Source organism: Homo sapiens, chromosome 19, assembly GCF_000001405.40.
Source record: "Homo sapiens chromosome 19, GRCh38.p14 Primary Assembly".
Taxonomy (NCBI): Eukaryota; Metazoa; Chordata; class Mammalia; order Primates; family Hominidae; genus Homo; species Homo sapiens.
The window spans coordinates 50,711,348-50,729,161 of record NC_000019.10 but is presented as its reverse complement, the minus strand read 5'-3'; the positions used below and the strand labels follow the sequence as shown (position 1 = coordinate 50,729,161).

At 59.8% G+C, this 17,814-nt stretch overlaps 2 protein-coding genes across 4 annotated transcripts in view, besides 3 other annotated features; one reads left to right on the top strand and one right to left on the bottom strand.

Annotated features, from left to right (window-relative positions):
• Nucleotides 291-1,010: a transcriptional cis regulatory region, noted in NCBI's record as "candidate enhancer chr19.5690 targeted for multiplex CRISPR interference". NCBI's record gives its function as "positively regulates CLEC11A gene expression with high confidence in K562 cells {active_cell/tissue: K562}" and the evidence as "EXISTENCE:mutant phenotype evidence [ECO:0000015][PMID:30612741]".
• CLEC11A (C-type lectin domain containing 11A) lies at nt 3,454-5,798 on the bottom strand. The gene is made up of 4 exons (NM_002975.3): nt 5,490-5,798; nt 5,071-5,257; nt 4,561-4,752; nt 3,454-4,140 (listed from the first exon to the last, which is right to left on the bottom strand). The coding sequence occupies exons 1-4, from the start codon at nt 5,634-5,636 to the stop codon at nt 3,695-3,697; spliced, it is 972 nt and encodes a 323-aa protein (NP_002966.1). The 5' UTR covers nt 5,637-5,798; the 3' UTR covers nt 3,454-3,694.
• Nucleotides 4,230-4,289: a silencer, noted in NCBI's record as "silent region_10976". NCBI's record gives its function as "represses an Ori minimal core promoter by ATAC-STARR-seq in GM12878 lymphoblastoid cells {active_cell/tissue: GM12878}" and the evidence as "EXISTENCE:reporter gene assay evidence [ECO:0000049][PMID:35858748]".
• Nucleotides 4,330-4,449: a silencer, noted in NCBI's record as "silent region_10975". NCBI's record gives its function as "represses an Ori minimal core promoter by ATAC-STARR-seq in GM12878 lymphoblastoid cells {active_cell/tissue: GM12878}" and the evidence as "EXISTENCE:reporter gene assay evidence [ECO:0000049][PMID:35858748]".
• A 3,561-nt stretch (nt 5,799-9,359) lies between the features above and the next one.
• The window catches only part of SHANK1 (SH3 and multiple ankyrin repeat domains 1), a 60,548-nt gene continuing 52,093 nt past the window's right edge, over nt 9,360-17,814 (top strand). For all 3 annotated transcript variants that reach the window (XM_011527014.3, NM_016148.5, XM_011527013.3), the window contains exons 1-8: nt 9,360-9,756; nt 12,200-12,497; nt 12,684-12,887; nt 13,432-13,503; nt 14,872-14,980; nt 15,213-15,364; nt 17,048-17,215; nt 17,675-17,791. In XM_011527014.3, the coding sequence (XP_011525316.1) occupies nt 12,243-12,497; nt 12,684-12,887; nt 13,432-13,503; nt 14,872-14,980; nt 15,213-15,364; nt 17,048-17,215; nt 17,675-17,791 (1,077 nt within the window). In that variant the 5' untranslated portion in view covers nt 9,360-9,756; nt 12,200-12,242. The remainder of the gene's footprint in view (nt 9,757-12,199; nt 12,498-12,683; nt 12,888-13,431; nt 13,504-14,871; nt 14,981-15,212; nt 15,365-17,047; nt 17,216-17,674; nt 17,792-17,814) is intronic.

The window sequence follows — 17,814 nt, the reverse complement described above, 5'->3', positions numbered from 1 at the left end:
TTTTTGTTTTTGTTTATTTTTAAGGTGCACGCCTGTAGTCCCAGCTACTCAGGAAACTGAGGCGGGAGGATTGCTTTAGCTCAGGAGGTCGAGGCTGCAGTGAGCTATGATTGTGCCACTACTGCTCTCCAGCCTGGGCGACAGAGTGAGACTCTGTCTCAAAAAAAAAAAAAAAAAAACAGAACCTGAAAATAAATAGAAAAGAAAGAAACTAAGTTGGTTTGGACCAGTGGTTAGCCACAAAGAAATTTTATATTGAATTTTATATTGTTAATTCAGCATATCGACGTTTAAATTTTGAAAAGCGTCTTACCATTTTCTATGATACTAATATTTCATACGAACTTTTTTCACTTTTTAAAAAGTGGTTATGATCTACCCAAGGAAATGCACCTGTTTTGAAAAACTCTCGTCTGAGAGATCCAAACGTGAGTTGAATGTTAAGGCTTCGCGACTTGGGGTTTTCCTACCCGTGGGCGCGTGACAGGACTACATTTTCCAGAGTACCTCGGGGCGAGGCCTGGGTGGAGAGGAGGGGTCTGAGCTCTGATTGGAGACTGCGGAGCTCCGACCTCACCGCCAAGGCGTGGCCCTCAGGCTTGCGGGGAAAGGCAGGCGAACCTCACATGGGAGGAGGGGGCGGGGCTTGCGAGGTGACCCGTAGGAGTCATCCGGTTACTGCGGAAAAACGTGGTGCTGGTAAGGCGGTGATGCGCCTGCTGCTCGGCCTCCTGGGCTTTATCGCCCTGCAAGCCCGTGCGGCCGCTGGTTCTTCCTCCTCCGTCGAATCATCCCAGGCCTCCTGCCCTTGTTCTACTACTTCCCTGGGATCCCTTAATGCATCTATTCCAATCAGCTGCCGAGGCCTCCCCTGGTCCATGGCTCTGGCCTTGCACACTACCAGCGCTCCGCAGAGAGCCAGGGAGAGGACATTGGCAAACTCTGGCCCGCAGGAAGTCTGGGGGGGCTTCCTGGAGGAGAGAGTAGGTTTCCCACGCAGACCAGAGTCAGGAATCAGCGCCGAATGCCACATATAGGCGTGCTGTTCTGATGCATAAACCGTCCTTGCAGGCACGCCACTCCCCACTTCAGACCTCTCTCTCTGCATGCCCACAGCTGGCCCTGTGCTTGGTATGATAGCTCCAGGCCCTGCCAGGGAGACAGACATTGTCTGTCAGACCAGACAGTGGCACCTAAAGTGATGTGGAAAGCCCTGGACCCTACGGGAAACTAGAGAAGGTGCCTCACCCAGCCTTGGGGAGGCCAGGGAGGAAAAGCAGCCGAGATCCGACTCATCTCAGGGTCCCCTGCATGATGCCACACAAGCATCTTCATTCAAAGGGCTCCCATATGCCAGGCGATGCTGGGGACAGAGATAGTCATACCTTGTCCTGCCCTCCCCCACGCACCTGGAGTGTCCCTCAGCCTGTCTGATCAGGGCTGGGTCAAGAGAGGAACAAGGGGTTTGTGGATACCAAAGGGGATCCCTAACCCCGCAAGGGGCTGGGGGAAGGGCTGGTTGTTGGGGTGATGTGTTATCCAATTCTTGGAAGTGGGTGTTTACCCTAGAGAGGAGGGAGGATGGAGATCTTTGCATATACAAAAGCACAGTGTCAGGAGAGAGTACAGAGAGATGAAGGTGAGGTTGAATTGCCCTGGTGAAGCTCAGATCTGGGAACTGCAAAGACCCCTCTGTGTCTGGTACTATTCTAGATCAATACTGTTATTATCCCCACAGTACAGATGGAGACACTGAGAAGTAGCAAGGTTATGTCTCACTCAGGTTCTCCCAGGAGATAAGTGGCTGAGGTAGGATTGGAACCTGGGCCATCTGGCTCTAGAATCTGGGCGGGTAGCCATGGTGTACCATGCCCAAATACTTTCCAGAATGGAAGCTCTGCCAGGGCAGAGACCCCTCTGGGAAATAATAGATACTCATCATTGTCTGCCTAATCTGACCTCTGGTTGGCTATAAGATCTAGGGCTGCCTATCCCTCCCCGGGGAAACTGAAGCTCAGCATGAGAAGAATTTCTGATGGAAGGCTGACTCCAGGCCACACCCCCACTCTCCTATTCTGTATTCCTCTGGGGATGTGGGGCTGAGAAATGTCTCCTGAAGGGAGAAGGGTGGGTGATCTCCCCTCTATCCAAGCTGACAGTGATGGCTTGCTCCTCCCATGTGTGGATCCAATGGTCACCCTTTAGGCAGTGGTGCAATGGCTGAAGGAAGGGAAGGGGCAGAGTGGTAAGGACAGACAGGGTCACATCCCCATTCCTAGGCTCCCTGATGTCAGGGTCACGCCCATGATGCCAACCTTGGGGGAGGTACTAGGGTGATTTCCAAAGAGCCTCTCCTCTAGACAGAGCTGGCCACTATGCTGAGGCCCCGGCTGGCGGACTCCTGGGTGTCTTCACTGCCCCCAGGGAGTAAAGGTATGAAAAATGGTGAGGGAGAGCCAGGCACTGTGGCTCATGCCTGTATTCCCAGCCCTTTGGGAGGCCCAGGAGGGCAGATTGCTTGAGCTCAGGAGTTCAAGACCAGCCTGAGCAACGTGGCGAAAACCAACCTCTATAAAAAAATACAAAAATTAGCCAGGTGTGGTGGGGCGTGCCTGTAGTCCCAGCTACTTGGGGGGCTAAGGTGGGAGGACTGCTTGAACCCAGAAGATTGAGGCTGCAGTAAGCCATGATTGTACCACTGCACTCCAGCCTGGGCGAAAGAGCAAGACCGTGTCTCAAAAAAGGAAAAAAAAAGGTGAGGACGGAAGGTAGTGTGTGGCTCAAGTTCAGCCACCACCAAATGCACACTGTCCTGGTCTCACCTGAACATCCCAAGAGCCGCACAAAGTAGGAGGGATTGTGCCCACGTTCAGATGAAAAACCCGAGGCTCACAGAGGGGAAGGGACTGGCTCCTGGCCTCACTGGCAGGAAGCAGAGGAGGGAAAATTGGGAGGAAGTCTAAGCTTCAGGGTTGGGTGAGTCCTTAAGTCCATGTCTCAATATATCATCCCAACAAGTCCATGAAACCATATCATCTGGGGAAACAAATTGGACACGCCACTTAAACAAATTAAACGGGCTCTTTCCTGCCGGACTTGTCAGAGCCTTTAGCCCCTTCACGTTTCCCAAATCTCTTTGACCAGGACCAAGACCAAGGCCTGGGACAACTGGCAGGCCCTGGGTCCCAAAGGCCGAGAGAGAGGGCACGATGGAGGTGAAGGTGTCTACAGCGTTTGTACGCGTGTACTCCGGCCATCTGTGCACAGAACAGATGACCGTGTGTACATATGCACCTGTGTTTCTCCATCACTCCATCTGGGGCTCAAATGACATCTGTAAAAAGCAGAACAGGCATCCAAAGGCCAGGACACGCGCCCAAAGACCAGGGTCTGGCCCTTCCCGGCTTCCCCTGCAGGAGATAAAGTCCAAGACTGCCTTCACTGCCCCTCAAGTCAGATTCCACAAGGATTTATTGGCACCGGACCTAGCCTGGTGCCCGCCCCTTCAAGGAAAGACACTAACAAGGAGGAGTGCCGGCACCGCAAGAGCCCTCCCAGAAGCGCCCAGACTGGGGGTCGGGGAGGACGCTGCCATTCGTGGCCAGGAAGGGAAGGGAGATTCCGGAGGAGGGTGGGCACGGCGCAGGGAAAGGCCGGGTGGTGGGATGGGCAGGGAGGCGGGGTACCGGCCCCGCTAGAAGGGGAACTCGCAGACGTAGTAGAGACGCCGCTGGCAGTCGTGGTCCCACCAGGAGCCGTCGTCAGAGGCCTGCGCCACGCAGTTCTCGAGCGTGCCACCGTTGGGCTGGTCCGGGCTGAGCGGATGCGGCGAGGCGCTGGGCTGGGCGCCGAGCTCGGGGCGGGGTGAGCGATGCCAGGCGAAGAAGGACACGCGCTGGCCGTTTTCGAAGAGGTAGAGGCCCTCGGCGCGCCGATCGTGCACGCCCAGCCACACGGGCCAGTTGTAGGGAGCGAGCGCCGCGCGCAGGTACCGAGTGAGCGCCTCCATCTGCTGGCGGTCTGCCGGCTGCGCCAGGCTCCCGCCCCGCGCCGTGCACCGCGCCTGCGCCGCCGCCTGAGCTTCGAAGTCGCGCGAGAGCAGGAAGCACTTGTGGCCCAGGCGCAGCCCCTTCAGGCAGCCTGTGGGCGGGGCCGGGTAGAGAAGGAGGCGGGGTCATGCATTCAGAGTCTGGAAGGGGGCGAGGACAAAACATCCGGGGGTGGAGGGAGGCGGGGCCAGGAACTCATGGGGAGGGCTGGGAGGAGGCGTGGTCAGAACCGCGGGAGCCAGGAGGTGGAGAGTCTGGTCCGCCAGGGGCGGGGCCAGGCGGTGGGAGCTGGACTGTAGGGGGCGTGGTGCTGCCCCAGTCGGGTCCGCGCGGGTCTGGAGTGCCCACCCGCTCCCTGCATTCAGCCTCCCAGCTCTCTAACCCCGTCCGCTAGCACACAGCAGCTCTCCCGAACTCTCCCGCCCCGGACACCTAGGGTCACCTTCTCAACCAGTCCCATTCCTGGCCCAGATAGTCTCATTTTTTTCCACCCCGCGCGCCGCGGACTCACCCTCCAAGCGGCCGTGCTCGCGCTCGGCGCGACCCTGCGCCTCCTGCAGGGCTTGCACGGCATCGCGGGTGTCGCCTGCCGCGTTCCGCAGCTGCCGCAGCCCCTGGGTCAGCTCGACCACGCGGGTGTCCAACGCGTGCAGACGGACGTGCAGCTGGTGCAGGCCTGCGTCCAGGCCGGCCAGGCGGCCCACTGCGGACAGACAGGGATCATGCTGGAGGGGGAGCCTGGAGATGCAGCGGGGGGCCTGAGGACCTGGAGAACTGGGATCTAGGGCTCCTGAGGGCGGGGTGGCGGTGGGGGGGGCACCCCGGACTCCTGGAAGGTAGGGTCGAGTGGCCCAGGCCTTTAGGAGGCATGGCCGTGGACCTGGGGCTCCTAGGGGTGTGGGGGCTCTGGGCTGGGCAATGGACAACTGAAAGGCCACTTGGCAGTGAACCGACCCTTCATTTTTGCGAAAGTGACCGCGGCGGCCTAGGAGTTTGGGGGTGAGGGCTTCTGGTTACTCACGGATGTAAGTGACGATGTCCTCAGGGGTGGGAGAGGGGCTGGGGCCGGAGGATGGGGTTGGCGTTGCTTCCTCCTCCTCTTCCTCCCCCTGGTCCTCCTCCATCTCCCAGTCCTCTTTTCCCTCAACAGTTCCGGCAGGATTCTCATCCCCCCTCCCAGCAGGCAGTCCTAGGGCTTCCTGCAGATGCTGGGGCAGGGGAGGGGTGGTGAGCCCCAGCCTGCCACCAAGATGCCCCATTCACCCCTTTCCAACTCATAACTCATTCTCTGCTGCCTGAGTCCTGTCTCTGAGCCCATCACCCTCCCACTCCTCTGAGACTATCCCAATCGCTCCTCATTGTCCATTTCCCTAACCTTGCAATACCCCCTCCCAGACCCACAGTTCACCACCCATAGCTCCCTGACACTCCAGAGCTCACCTTCAGCATCAGGGCCTCCCTCTCCCGCTCCTCCTCCTGGGCACCTCCCCAGCCTCCCTCCCACTCCCTCTCTGCTCCCCGAGCCCCATGGCCAAAGCCCAAGAGCTGGGGGACCACCAAAGCCCCCAAAAGCCAGGCTGCCTGCATTAAGCTGGACTCTTGGCACCCAAAGTTCCAGATGTCTGGATGTCTGGGGTGGGAGGGGTGGCCTCTGGGAACTGCCGAGTGCCCCTGCCCTGTGTGCAGGTCACTAGCCCCCAGGTTCCCGATTCTCCCAGCTTCTCTCTTCCTGTTCCTCTCCTCGTCTCTGTCCGGTCCGTTGGTCTCCTCTGCTTCTCTGTGTGTGTCTCTCCCCGCCCCTCTTGGCTCCCCGGAGGCCCTGCCTCTGTGGCCGGAAACCTCCAACGTTCCAAAGCCTAGATCCCGCCTTGGGTCTCCTCGCACACCCTCCTCTTTCCACTTTCCAGAGCTCGCTTCCGCCCTGCTCTTTCCTTCTGCTGTAGCCCAAAGATCAGATAATCAGGAAGAGGATGGAGCTGGCTCTCCAAGGAATCTTGGAAAACACAGGCCCCGGCCTCAGCCCAGGAACCCGCTCAGAACCATCTCGGCAGTGGTGGGATGCTGGGACCGAGCACTGCTCCCTTCTTCCCTGCCTGGCCATTCCTAAGGAGGGGCAGACCTCAGGGTCTCGCTGAGGTTGTTATTACCCTGTGGCCACCATCGCCTGCACACTCAATGGAGGAGACTCCAGGGCCCCTCCTGCCCCCTAGATTGCCCATCCTACCCTCCAAGCCCTTGTCTGGAGATCCAAGTGAGTGTGTGTGGGGGCAGGGTGACACATGTGAAGAGCACGCGTGTGACTGTGTGCATGACCCTGGAAGACGGGGCTCGGGGATTAATTGGCCACTTTACTAGAAGCCTCCTGCAGGCCAGGCTGTGGGCTGGGTGATGCTGGGGACTCCAGCTGCTTGCAGACCAGCAGCCAGATAGCTCCGGGGATGAGGGGGCTGGAGATGGGAGAGGGTGAGGAGTCTGGCGGAGCAGTCAGGGAAGGTTTCTCCAGGAGGTGAAATCGACAGACGCTAGGTTGTGTGCTCAAGGAGCTCTGAGCATTCAGCAAGCCACCTCATTTCAGCCTGGACCACTGCAGTCTCGCCCTCCCCCTCCTTCCTCCTGAGCCCCTCCAATCCCGGCTGCTTGCCGCAGCCAAAGCAATCCTTCCAAACCATAAATCAGATCACATCACTCCCCACTCCCCTGCTCCCCCACCTTCCCATCATAAGCAGGAGGGAAGCCAAGCCCGGGCCTCAGTCCTCAGCGCAGCCTACCATGCTGGGGGCTGGGAAGGAAGAACCCTTTGCACCTCTGCAGCCTCATCACCCCCATTCCCTTCACCCACCCCCAGCCTCCACCTTCCCTGGCCTCTTGGCTCATCCCCAAATACTAAGCTGATTACAACCTCAGAGCATTTGCACTAGCCCTTTCCTCCTTCTAGAAGCCTCTTTCCCCAGCTCCTTCTCATCATCGAGGTCTCAGCTCCAGGAGGTCTTCCCCAACCACCTTATCTATTCCGCAAGTTACTTTATTAAAATGCCCCATTTCATCTTTTTGGTATAATCAAGACTGGCATGATCTTGTTTGTTTATGTCTGTTCCCTGCCAATGAAAGCAGGGATTTTTATGCACTGATGCATCTCCTAGCACAAGGCCTACCTAGCACATAGTAGGTGTTCAATCAACCTGTTGAGTGGGCGAGAGGGTAGCCGTTCCTGGTGGGGTCAAAGGCCTGGAAGCTTCACCTCTTTGGTTTGCTGGCACCCAAGTTCCCAGGGTGGTGGTGGCAGGGTAGGTAGAGGTGGTGAGGGCAGTGGGAGAGAGGCTTGGAGGCAAGGAAGAACAATGCCATGCCATGCCCCTCTATGTCAGGCCCATGAGTCATGCAGGGCTTTTCCCGCCCAGGCCTGGCTGGTGGTGCCAACAAGCATGGGGCACACCAGCCAAGGATCACTGGGCCTGCTCTTCAAAGGAGGAGACCGAGGCTCTGAAACAGCATAGCCTGCTGGAGGTCACCAGTGTGGCGGCAGCTAGCCAAGGTTTCTGGCTCCAAGAGCAGGGCATCTGCCCTCGGCTGCCGGGAGCCCCAGGAGGGGCCTTGGAAATCAGTGCCTCCAGCCTTCCGTTTTCCAAGAAATCCTGGTACATCGAGGGCACTGTGACCTTGGGCAGACTGCTCCCTGCCTCAGAGCCTGGGCCTCTCAGGTGCCCATCGGGAACCTGGGGCCCCTCACCAGGAGCTACAGACCTCAAGAAATAATGCGTATGTGGGGAAAGGCCTTGTAAAGTGTGCAGGGGTGCACAGCCTCTCTGGCTGCTGGAGCCAACATGGGCAGCTGTGCTTTCCCCGGGCCCAGCTGCTCACCACCTGGGCTAGTGGGTACGCATCAAGATAGAGGCCTCCCCAGGCTGAGCAGGCACCTCCTCCAGCTCATACTCGGGTACCCCGGAGAGCCTGCAGCTGGAGGGGAACCCAGAAGCTGCCTAGAACTGCCCCCTGCAGGCCCTGGAGGTGCTGTTGGAGCTGGGAGAATGAGGAAGCCTGGGCTAAGGGGACACTCACCACTCACTGCTGCCCTGTGGGATCTGCTCTGTCCCTGTGGGTGCGTCCCAGGCATGAATGAGCTGTCTGCCTGCAGCTGGCTGCATATGCGTGCCTACACAGACATGTGCAAACTCTGAGGAGACGGTTGGGTGTGTCTGTGTGTGATGAATAAGGATATGCAACTATGAGGGGATATGCCCAGTAGTGCACCATAGTTGTCAAGTGAGGACTTTGGAGCCAGCCTACCTGTTCCTGATCCTTGTTACCACCTCCTTACAGCTGGATGACCTTGGGCAAGTTACTTAGCCTCTCTGTTCCTTGGTTTCCCCCTCTGGAAAATGGGGATGGCGAAAGTCCCTGAGCCTGGCACACAGAAAGTGCTCCAGGAATGTCAGCAGTAACTATCCTGGAGGGGAAGGATGGCACGGTGTTGGGCATGTAAACGGGTGAGTGCGAGCCAGTGCAATGGACAGCACGGTGGGTGGGTGTGATGGGAAGGCGTGCACACGTCTCTACAGTGCTGTAACTCCGTTTTGGTGTTGAGAGATCTGGGCATGCATACCGGGGTGAACGCCTGTGTGCGTGTGTGCGCGCGCACGTGCGTGTGTGGTGGGCAAATGTGTGCATGTGCTGCGTGTGTGCCCGGGCACAGGGGTGTGACAACTGCATGTAGCTGGGTGTGTTTGTAGCTGTGTACCCCAGGTGCATTGTGTCTGGGCATGCATGCGCTGGAGAGTGTGTGTATGTGGGGACTCTGCAGGTGCCGTTACAGCTGGTGACTATGCACCTGTGCCTTGGGGAAATGTGGCCTGGCCCAGGTATGTCCACGTGTGCCCTGACCCAGTGCTTAAATGGAAAGGGTGTGTGTGTGTTTGGGGGGACAGGGTGGGAATCTATAGCCTTCACACTTAAATTTGGGGGTGTAGAGTCTGGCAACAAATATTTATTGTGCCCCACTCTGTGTAGGGCGGCGGGGAGCTCTCTGGGAGGGGGTGGTCCTGAGGTGTGTGTGGGGGGGCACCTTATGGGGGCAGGACCCCTTCCTCGGGGTATGGGAGCAAGCAGGGGCGGAGTCAGGATTTGGGGACTCGGAGGTGGGGAGGAGTGGTGGGGGAGGGCAAGGGTAGGGGGCGGAGCCGGCGGTGGTGGGGGATGGGCGAGGTTTGGGGGCGCGGGGAGGGGCGATGTCTCCTCCGCCGGCTCCCGGAGGGAGGGGAGAGGGCGGAGGGAGGGGAGGGAGGGAGAGAGGGAGGGAGAGAGACAGGGTGAGGGAGAGACAGCGAGAGCGAGAGAGCGAGAAGGGTGGCAGAGGAGGCGCGGAGCGGGCGGCGGCGGCGGCGGCCCGAGGAAGAGGAGGAGGAAGAGCAGGCGGAGACGCGGCGCCCGGAGCCGGCCGGACCGAGCCGGGGGCGGGCGAGGAGGGGCGCGGCGGCCGCGGCGGAAGGGGGGGCGCTCTGCGGATGGCCAGGCCCGGCCCGCGGGGGGGGTGAGGTCCTCGGCCCTCCCGCCCTCCCCCCCGGTCCCCGCCCGCCCCCTCCCCGGGCCCGCTCGCCCTCCGGGGCGGTGGGGCATGGCCTGAGGGTCCCCGTCTCCGGGGGGGTGGGGGGTGGGGGGAGGGGGGAGGGGCCGCGGGCGCCGCCGACCGGGACTCAGCAGCCCCGCCAGGCAGGTAAGGGGGTCGAGAACCTGGGGGTTTGGGGCAGCTGCGGGGCCGGGGCCGCGGGAGGGGGCGAGGGCGCCCCGGATGTCCTTGGCCCGGCGCCGGGCTCCTGGCCTGGGTGTGCGGCTGGGGGTACGGGTGAGGTGGGGAGCGTTGCCCTGGGCGACACCAAATTGGGTTACGCCCGGGTCCCCGGTGCCCCGTCCCAGATCGCATCCTTGATGGGAGGGCGCGCCCCCCACCCCCGGCCAGCAGAGCCCCTATCCCGAACCCGCCTCCCGGCTCTCCGGGGCCAAGGGCTCGGTCCTGGTACCCGCCTCCCCGCCCAGCCCGGCCACTCCCCCGCCTCGCCCTCCCTGGCGTACCTGGGCCCCTCCGCCAGGTCACCCTGGTCCCCACTCCCCTCCAGCGAGGGTCTAGGCCCGGGCCTCCTCCGCCCCTTTCGACCCCTCCAGCTCCCGCTTCTCCTTCCAGGCTCCTCCAGTCCCTTTCCACCCCTGTCCAAGCTCCCTGCGTCCCCACCAGGTCTCCAGTCCCTACACCGCCGGCCGGCGCGCCCCCTCGGCTCCCGCCCCCGACTCCTGCTCCCCGGTGCCCCCCGCCCCTCTCCCCGGCCGGGTTCTCCCCCACCAGTTTCCCAGCCTCGGCTCCGGCTCTCTCTCCCCGCCCCTCCCCGCCTCCCTCCGCCTCCATTCATTCTCCCCGGCCCCGCTCTCGGCCACGCCAGCCGCCCCCTGTCCCCCCACAGCCTCCCAGGGCACCCCCTCTCTCGCGTCCTCCACCACCCCCCTCGCCGATTCCTCAGCCCGTCTCGGTACCAGCTGCGTGCCAGCTATTCTTAGCCGCGGAGCGTTTGATTCATGCCGCCCCGGCGGAGCGTGCCCGCTCCCTCCCGCGAGCCCTGAGGGGGAGGGGCCGGAGCCGGCCCGGGGGGGCTGGGGCAGCCGTACGCGCGGGGGGCCCTAGCCAGCTTTTCTTTCATCCCACCGGCCACCCCCTCCGAGCGGGGTTGAGGCTGGGGGTCAGCCAGGGTCAGCCGAGGGGGAGTGTCTGCGGGCCCCAGATCGCGAGGTGGGCTGTGCGGCGGGGCAGGGAGGAGGCAGCCGGGGTCTCCGCAGGGACGAGGTGGGGCGGCGTGGCTGGGTACCTGGAGGGGGAGGGGGCTTCGCAGCGCTGCCGCGCGTGGGGGAGGGGTCCGCCGGCCCTGGGTTAGAGGCTCGCTCGCCCACACCTCCTGGAACTCTCCTCCCACCACACACATTTAGTCTTCCCTTTCCCAACCCCCCAGCCCATCCCCACTCCCCCAAAGTCAGCAGTACCCTCCACTGCTTCCCATCTCCATGGCAACGGTGCAGGAACCGGGCCTGGTGTTGGGGGGAGGGACCAGACCAGACATTCTGGTTTCCGGTGCTGGGGTGGGAGTTGGGGGAGAACAGAAGGGAGGCGGACCCCATTTGGAAGGGGCTCCACCCTCATAAGGCCACCTCAAGGGAGAACAGCAAGGATCTAGAGATGATCCCCCACTCAGTTCCCCAGACCCTCCTCTCACTTCTTAGCCTCCCTCCTAACACCCCCAGTCCTCAGAGTGGAGCCCCTAGTACCCAGCAAGCCAGCCCACCCACCCTGCAGTCCTAGAAAAGAGCTACAGGTCATCTGCAGCCACCCACATCTACCCGGGCCACCACACCACTGTCACCTGGACAGCACTCCCCAGGCCGACCTCCCCACCTACCCGCACACCCTCTCAAGATGCCCCAGTCTCCAAAAGCCACCTCTTGTGGTTCCCTTGGGGACACCCTAGGCCAAATGCTCTGCCCATGACACCCCCATCTCAGTGCCCCTTGCTCCCCTGGGACGGCAGATTCCCCAGCACTATTCGGCATGCCACGCGTTGTCAGCCACACTTGAGTGAAGTCACCAGCTCCACCCGCTCCAGGCTCACCACACCTCCCTCTCCCCCTTACTACATCTCAGTGTCAGCCTCAGCTTCTCCCCAACCCCACCCCCCGGCCCTGGGATGAGGGGCCAGGCTGGGGCCAGGAGGGCAGGATGCCTGTCAGTTTGTCCACCTGTCTGTCCTTAGCTAATTTTAGCTGCATTTTCTGTGGCCTGGCAAAGTGGGCCAGTAGCTCCCGCGGTGATTCTGCGGTTTCTGGGACACGGCCACGCTGGGTCACCAGCAAAGTGGGGCGCAGGGGGCGGGCTGCAAGCGGGGCCAAGGGCAGGGAAGGAGACACATGCCAGAAGCATGTCAGGGACAGGGGTGTGTGCGTGCCAGCGTGGGAGGAGGCGGCAGGGGAGGCCGTGCAGGCCGAGGGTGTGTCCAGCCTCCTTCCTGCCTATCTTGGGCAGTGGGGGTAGGCTGCCCTTGACCGCTTGACCACCGAATAGCGCCTGCGGCCTCTGAGGGGTCCCGGGCTCCTAGTCTGATGGCCGCCCTTGGCCCCTGCAGCCGCCTGTGATGCTGCCGTCCCCCGTCGCCCCGTGGCCCCACAATGACCCACAGCCCCGCGACAAGCGAGGACGAGGAACGCCACAGTGCCAGCGAGTGTCCCGAGGGGGGCTCAGAGTCCGACAGCTCCCCAGACGGGCCAGGTCGAGGCCCCCGGGGGACCCGGGGCCAGGGCAGTGGGGCACCTGGTAGCCTGGCCTCTGTTAGAGGCCTCCAGGGCCGCTCAATGTCCGTCCCAGACGACGCCCACTTCAGCATGATGGTCTTCAGGATTGGCATCCCGGACCTGCACCAGACAGTGAGTACCTGCCCACTGGCCAGCGGCAGGAGAGGGACAGTGCCCCAACCGACATGGGGAGTCCACTGGTGCTGGGTATCCTCCCAGGAATCACCCCCACACTCAGCTCCTGGCTCACTTCCCAACCCACCTCAGGCTCTCCTCTGGCCCCTGGCCCACCCTAGCCCCTATCTCTTCCCCAACCAGAAATGCCTTCGCTTCAACCCCGATGCCACCATCTGGACGGCCAAGCAGCAGGTGCTCTGTGCCCTGAGCGAGAGCCTGCAGGATGTGCTCAACTATGGCCTGTTCCAACCGGCCACCTCCGGCCGCGATGCCAACTTCCTGGAGGAGGAGAGGCTGCTGCGGGAGTACCCCCAGTCCTTTGAGAAGGGGGTCCCCTACCTGGAGGTGAAGCTTCCCCAACTCCTTCACTGATAAGAGAAGGCATGCCCTAAAACACATCTGCCCCCCACCCACTTTTTAACACACTCGAAACCTTAACGAGGGGGCACCCAGTGTGCGAGTCCAGACCTTCTAAGCATCACAGGGAAGTCAGAGAGTCCTGAGTTCAAATTACCATCTGTTCTGCTTCTGACCAGCTAAGTGGCCTTGGCCAAGTCACTTTCCTGCCCCAAGCTTCTCCTCACCCATCAAATTGGGGGAGGATTCCCAATTACAGTAGGCACTCTAGAACATTCCCTGTGGGGTCCAGACTCCTCCTCCTTCAAGGCAGGGGTTGCAGTGCACATATACCATAATACCCAGCACTGTCGGAAAAGCCACTGCCACCCATCTACCGCCTAGACCAAGGTTCCAGGGCTGTTTTCACTCCCACCCTGAGCTACCCCGGGGAATTAGAAGGGGATCAGACCTTCCCCTACCCCAAGCCTTCTCCCCAGGCCCCTGATTCCAAGTCTCTGTGTCTCTCTCACTACCCTACCCTTGACCTCAGTTCCGATACAAGACCCGAGTTTACAAACAGACCAACCTGGATGAGAAGCAGCTGGCCAAGTTGCACACGAAGGTGAGAAAACCCTGCTGGCATCTATCCCCTATAGCCCCCTACCACTGGAGCCCCCTACCCAACCACTTTCTCTCCCCACCTCTTCCCAATAGACCTCCACATTCCCCAAGCCAGCGATCCCTCTGGCCACTGCCCCCGCTTAACTTGGGATGCTGTACCACATTTGAGACAACCACAAATACCCCCCATTATCCCCATCACAACCCCTTCTTACTTTCCTCTTTTGCCCTTCATCCCTCTGCCTGGGCCCACATCATTCCCACCTGGCCTCCTTTGAGTCTCCCTTCTCTTCCCCTGCCTCCCCCCATATCCATCCAAGGCCTCTTTACTTCCCCACCTTGGCCTAGGACCCTGACACTGAAGGTCCTTCTGCCTAGAGTCTATTTCAAAGACAGGCTACATTTCTCCCAACCTCATAGCCTGAATCTCTGCAAAATCCAACCATTACACCCCCCTTTCCAGCCATATCTGTCCTCCTGGTACCTTGCCCGCCAGTCCTCAGCCCCTGTCTGTCCTGTGTCTCGATGGTGAGAGCTGGGAGGAAATCGGGAACTGCTTTGGTCAGAAATGAAGAACTCTTGATCCTTGAGAAGGAAAAACTCCCAGTCCCTCCTTGTCTACCCTCTCCCCACCACAGCATGCATTGAACTCTTTCCTCCCCTAAATGTTCCATCCCTCCAGACTTTCACGGTCCACTTTGGGAACCACTGGCCAAGTGTGGCTCCTGAGTGCTTGCAGTGTGTTTGGTCCCAACTAAGACTCGCTGTGAGTGTGAAATACACACTGGGTTTCAAAGACTTAGTACCAAAAAAAAGTTAAATAACCTCATTAATAATTTTCATCTCAATTACCTGTTGAAACAGTAACATTGTAGCTATATCAGTTAAATAACATATATCATTAACACGAATTTCAACACAACTAACACTTCACCCCCAACCACCCTGATTTTTTTTTTTTTTTTTTTTGAGACGGGGTCTTGCTCTGTCACCCGGGCTGCAGTGGTGCAATCATGGCTCACTGCAGCCTCAACCTTTCAGGGTTCAAAGGATCCTTCCAGCTCAGCCTCCCGAGTAGCTGGGACTACAGGCGTGTGCCACCACAACCTGGCTAGTTTTTTGCATTTTTTGTAGAGATAAGGGTCTCACTTTGTTGCTCAGGCTGGTCTCGAACCCCTGGGCCCAAGTGATCCTCCCGCCTCGGCCTCCCAAAGGGCTGGGTATTTTCTCTGTAAAGGAGGCTGCTAGAAGCTTTTCAATGGCGTATGTGACTCCACGTATATTTTCACTGGACGTCGCTGCTTGAGGACCCTGCTTCTCTGCCTTGCTCCTGACTGTCCTGTCTTCTCTCTCTTTGCCCATGGCTCAGACGGGGTTGAAGAAGTTCCTGGAGTATGTGCAGCTCGGGACATCTGACAAGGTGGCGCGGCTGCTGGACAAGGGGCTGGACCCCAATTACCATGACTCGGATTCGGGAGGTAGGGAGGGGTGCGCATCAGGAGGACCTCAGGGCCAGGACAGAGCTGGGGAGCAGGGGTGCCATCTGCATTCACATCCATTCCTGACTGGTGTCTCCCAAACACATTGCTGTCCAAGGGGGAGGCCACGGGGCCAGAGGCTGTGGGGTGGAGAGCTGCAGAGCCTGGAAAATGGGAAGGGATGGAGGGGAGGAGAAGGGGCTTCATGTGACCAGCTTTTCCCGCCCTTCAGAGACCCCCTTGACACTGGCGGCCCAGACCGAAGGCTCTGTAGAGGTGATTCGAACCCTGTGCCTGGGCGGGGCCCACATTGACTTCCGGGCCCGGGATGGCATGACCGCACTGCATAAGGCCGCATGCGCCCGACACTGCCTGGCACTCACGGTGAGGCTTCGGGGACCCCCCATCCCCGCCATGGGGCCCTCTCTCCTTTTCCCTTTGTTCTTTCTCAAACCTCAGTTCTTTGGTTTCAGTTAAAAATAGGCCCTCTCATGTCCCCAGTTCAAAGCCCCTTTCCATAGACTGAGACACAGCCCCTATTGTCACCCTTGTCAGGCCCCCCAGATGCACCCACCTGGGCTATAGCTGACATCACACAGACCCGGGCACGGCCTCCTCCCCTAAACACCCAGAACGTCTCCATCCCCTGTGGCCCAGCTTAATACCAAATCTGCCTCTGTCTCCCCAAGGTGTAAACCCTTCTCATTCCTTAAAATACGAAGTGAGCTCCCTGCTATGCCCCCAGATAGAGCCCCTCCACACACACCCTGAAAACAGCCCCCCAGCTACCCTTCCAAACCAGCACTGCACCAGCTCCCCTCCCTCCTCTCTCACATGCAAATACAGCCCCTTCCCCACGTACACAGCCTCAAATGCACTTTCCCAAATAGACAAACCCATACACCCACAAAATACATACACAGCGGCAGCTGCACAGTCTAATTTTAAAATACTCTTCTCCCCCTGCCCCCGCCAGGACACCTGATTGCTCTTCACATGAGGGTCAGGATGGGCTGCCCCCAAAGACAGCCATTGAGAAGCACCCCGACGCACAGCTGCTCCAGCTAAACGGCCCCTCCCTTCTCTCCCTCAGATGCTTTCCTGAAGAGCCCCTAATGCAGTCAGATGCCAGCCACAAAGATCTGCAGTATACCCCTGGAGTTAACAGATCCTCTTCATGTATCTCCCATGCACACTCACCCCCAAACCCACATCCTGCTCACACACGCCCCTCCCAGCCTCCAGACCTGCGCTATCCAAGCCAGTAGCCACTGGCCACCTGGGGCTGTTTAAATTTAAATTAAATAGAATGAAGTAAAATTAAAATTTCAGTTCCTCAGGCTCACTAGCCACGTTCAAGTGCTCAGGGGCCCACACGTGCCTGCCATATAGGGTGGTGCAGTTGCAGACCATCCCCATGATGGGGGAAACGTTCTGTTGGGTGGCACTGCTACAGGCTGTCCTCACACGAGGTTGCTGCCAAGACTTTCTCCTATTAATGTTCATTATTGCCAGCCTTCCACACCCAGAGCTGTCCTTCAAGTGGGGGCAGGAAGTGGCCTCCAGCCCCAGTGAGGCCGGCCCGATCCTTGCCCTTACCCAAGCTTACCTGTCCCCTGGCTTCCTGCTGTGCCCCTTCTTTGAGATCCTGGACCTAATAACACCTCCCACTTGGTCAGAGACCCTCCAGCATCCAGACTCTGTCCTCTCACTTGTCCCCAACAACCCACCTGTAGGAAGTGGAATGGGTGGGTACTGTGGCCCCTAATGTCTTTCAATGGCTCATCCAAGATCGCCCCCAGGGGGAAGGCTGGGTGGGATGTCAGAGTGCAAGTGTCCTCTGGAGGCATCTACCCAAGTCCCACATTGTTCACACGGAATCAGAGTGGCCCAGGGAGGGAAAGGGCCAGGCTCAAGGTTGCACAAGGGCATCACGGCAGAACTGAGACTGTCATTGGCCACTGTAGGTCACCCAGGACGGTCCAGTCCCCCTGGCCCTTCAGAATGAGCTGGTTAATGTGTGACTGTCATCTGTGTTTTTCTACTGGGTTCTCTCTCCGTTCCTAGGCGCTCCTGGACCTTGGGGGTTCCCCCAACTACAAGGACCGTCGGGGGCTGACCCCTCTGTTCCACACGGCCATGGTGGGTGGTGACCCCCGATGCTGCGAGCTGCTCCTGTTCAACAGGGCCCAGCTGGGCATAGCTGATGAGAACGGCTGGCAGGAAATCCACCAGGTGCTCCTGATTCAGGCCATGAAGGGCTGGGGTGGGGGACCCAGTCCCTGAGGCATCCAAGGGGCTGGGGCTGGGAACCAGATGCCAGGGTCCTCACAGAGCATGGGGGTGAGAATAACATGGTCCCCAAAGAGGAAATGGTGGGGGTGAAGGCAGAAAGACCCTAAGGGGGCATAGGCTGGGGAACCTGATGCCTTGACCCCTGAGAGGGATGGGCTGTCCTCTTGACCCCCTTAAGGAGGCAGACCAGACGCCTGGGCCTTGGAATGACTGAACATTTGGGTTTTGAGGCTGACAGCCTGGGTCCCAGAGCAGGAAGCGGGGCTAAAAGGTGATGGGGAGGTGGATGCGGTGAACGATAGGATGAGAAGGCCAGTGCACAGGTCATAGACAGACTCTTGGCCCAGAGGGAGAACAGCCTGGGTCTGATCCATGCCCCTCGCTCCCTGTCCTGCCCAGGCCTGCCAGCGGGGTCACTCTCAGCACCTGGAGCATCTGCTTTTCTACGGGGCTGAGCCTGGAGCCCAGAACGCCTCGGGGAACACGGCTCTGCACATCTGCGCCCTCTACAACAAGGTCTGCCTAGCAGCGGCCACCCC

Excerpts from the sequence above, each read along its gene's own strand:
- CLEC11A (NM_002975.3), bottom strand. The coding sequence starts at position 5,636 with ATGCAGGCAGCCTGGCTTTTGGGGGCTTTGGTGGTCCCCCAGCTCTTG. Across the intron at positions 4,753-5,070 it reads GGACATCGTCACTTACATCC|TGGGCCGCCTGGCCGGCCTG; the intron begins GTGAGTAACCAG and ends GTCTGTCCGCAG. Across the intron at positions 4,141-4,560 it reads CGAGCACGGCCGCTTGGAGG|GCTGCCTGAAGGGGCTGCGC; the intron begins GTGAGTCCGCGG and ends CCCCGCCCACAG.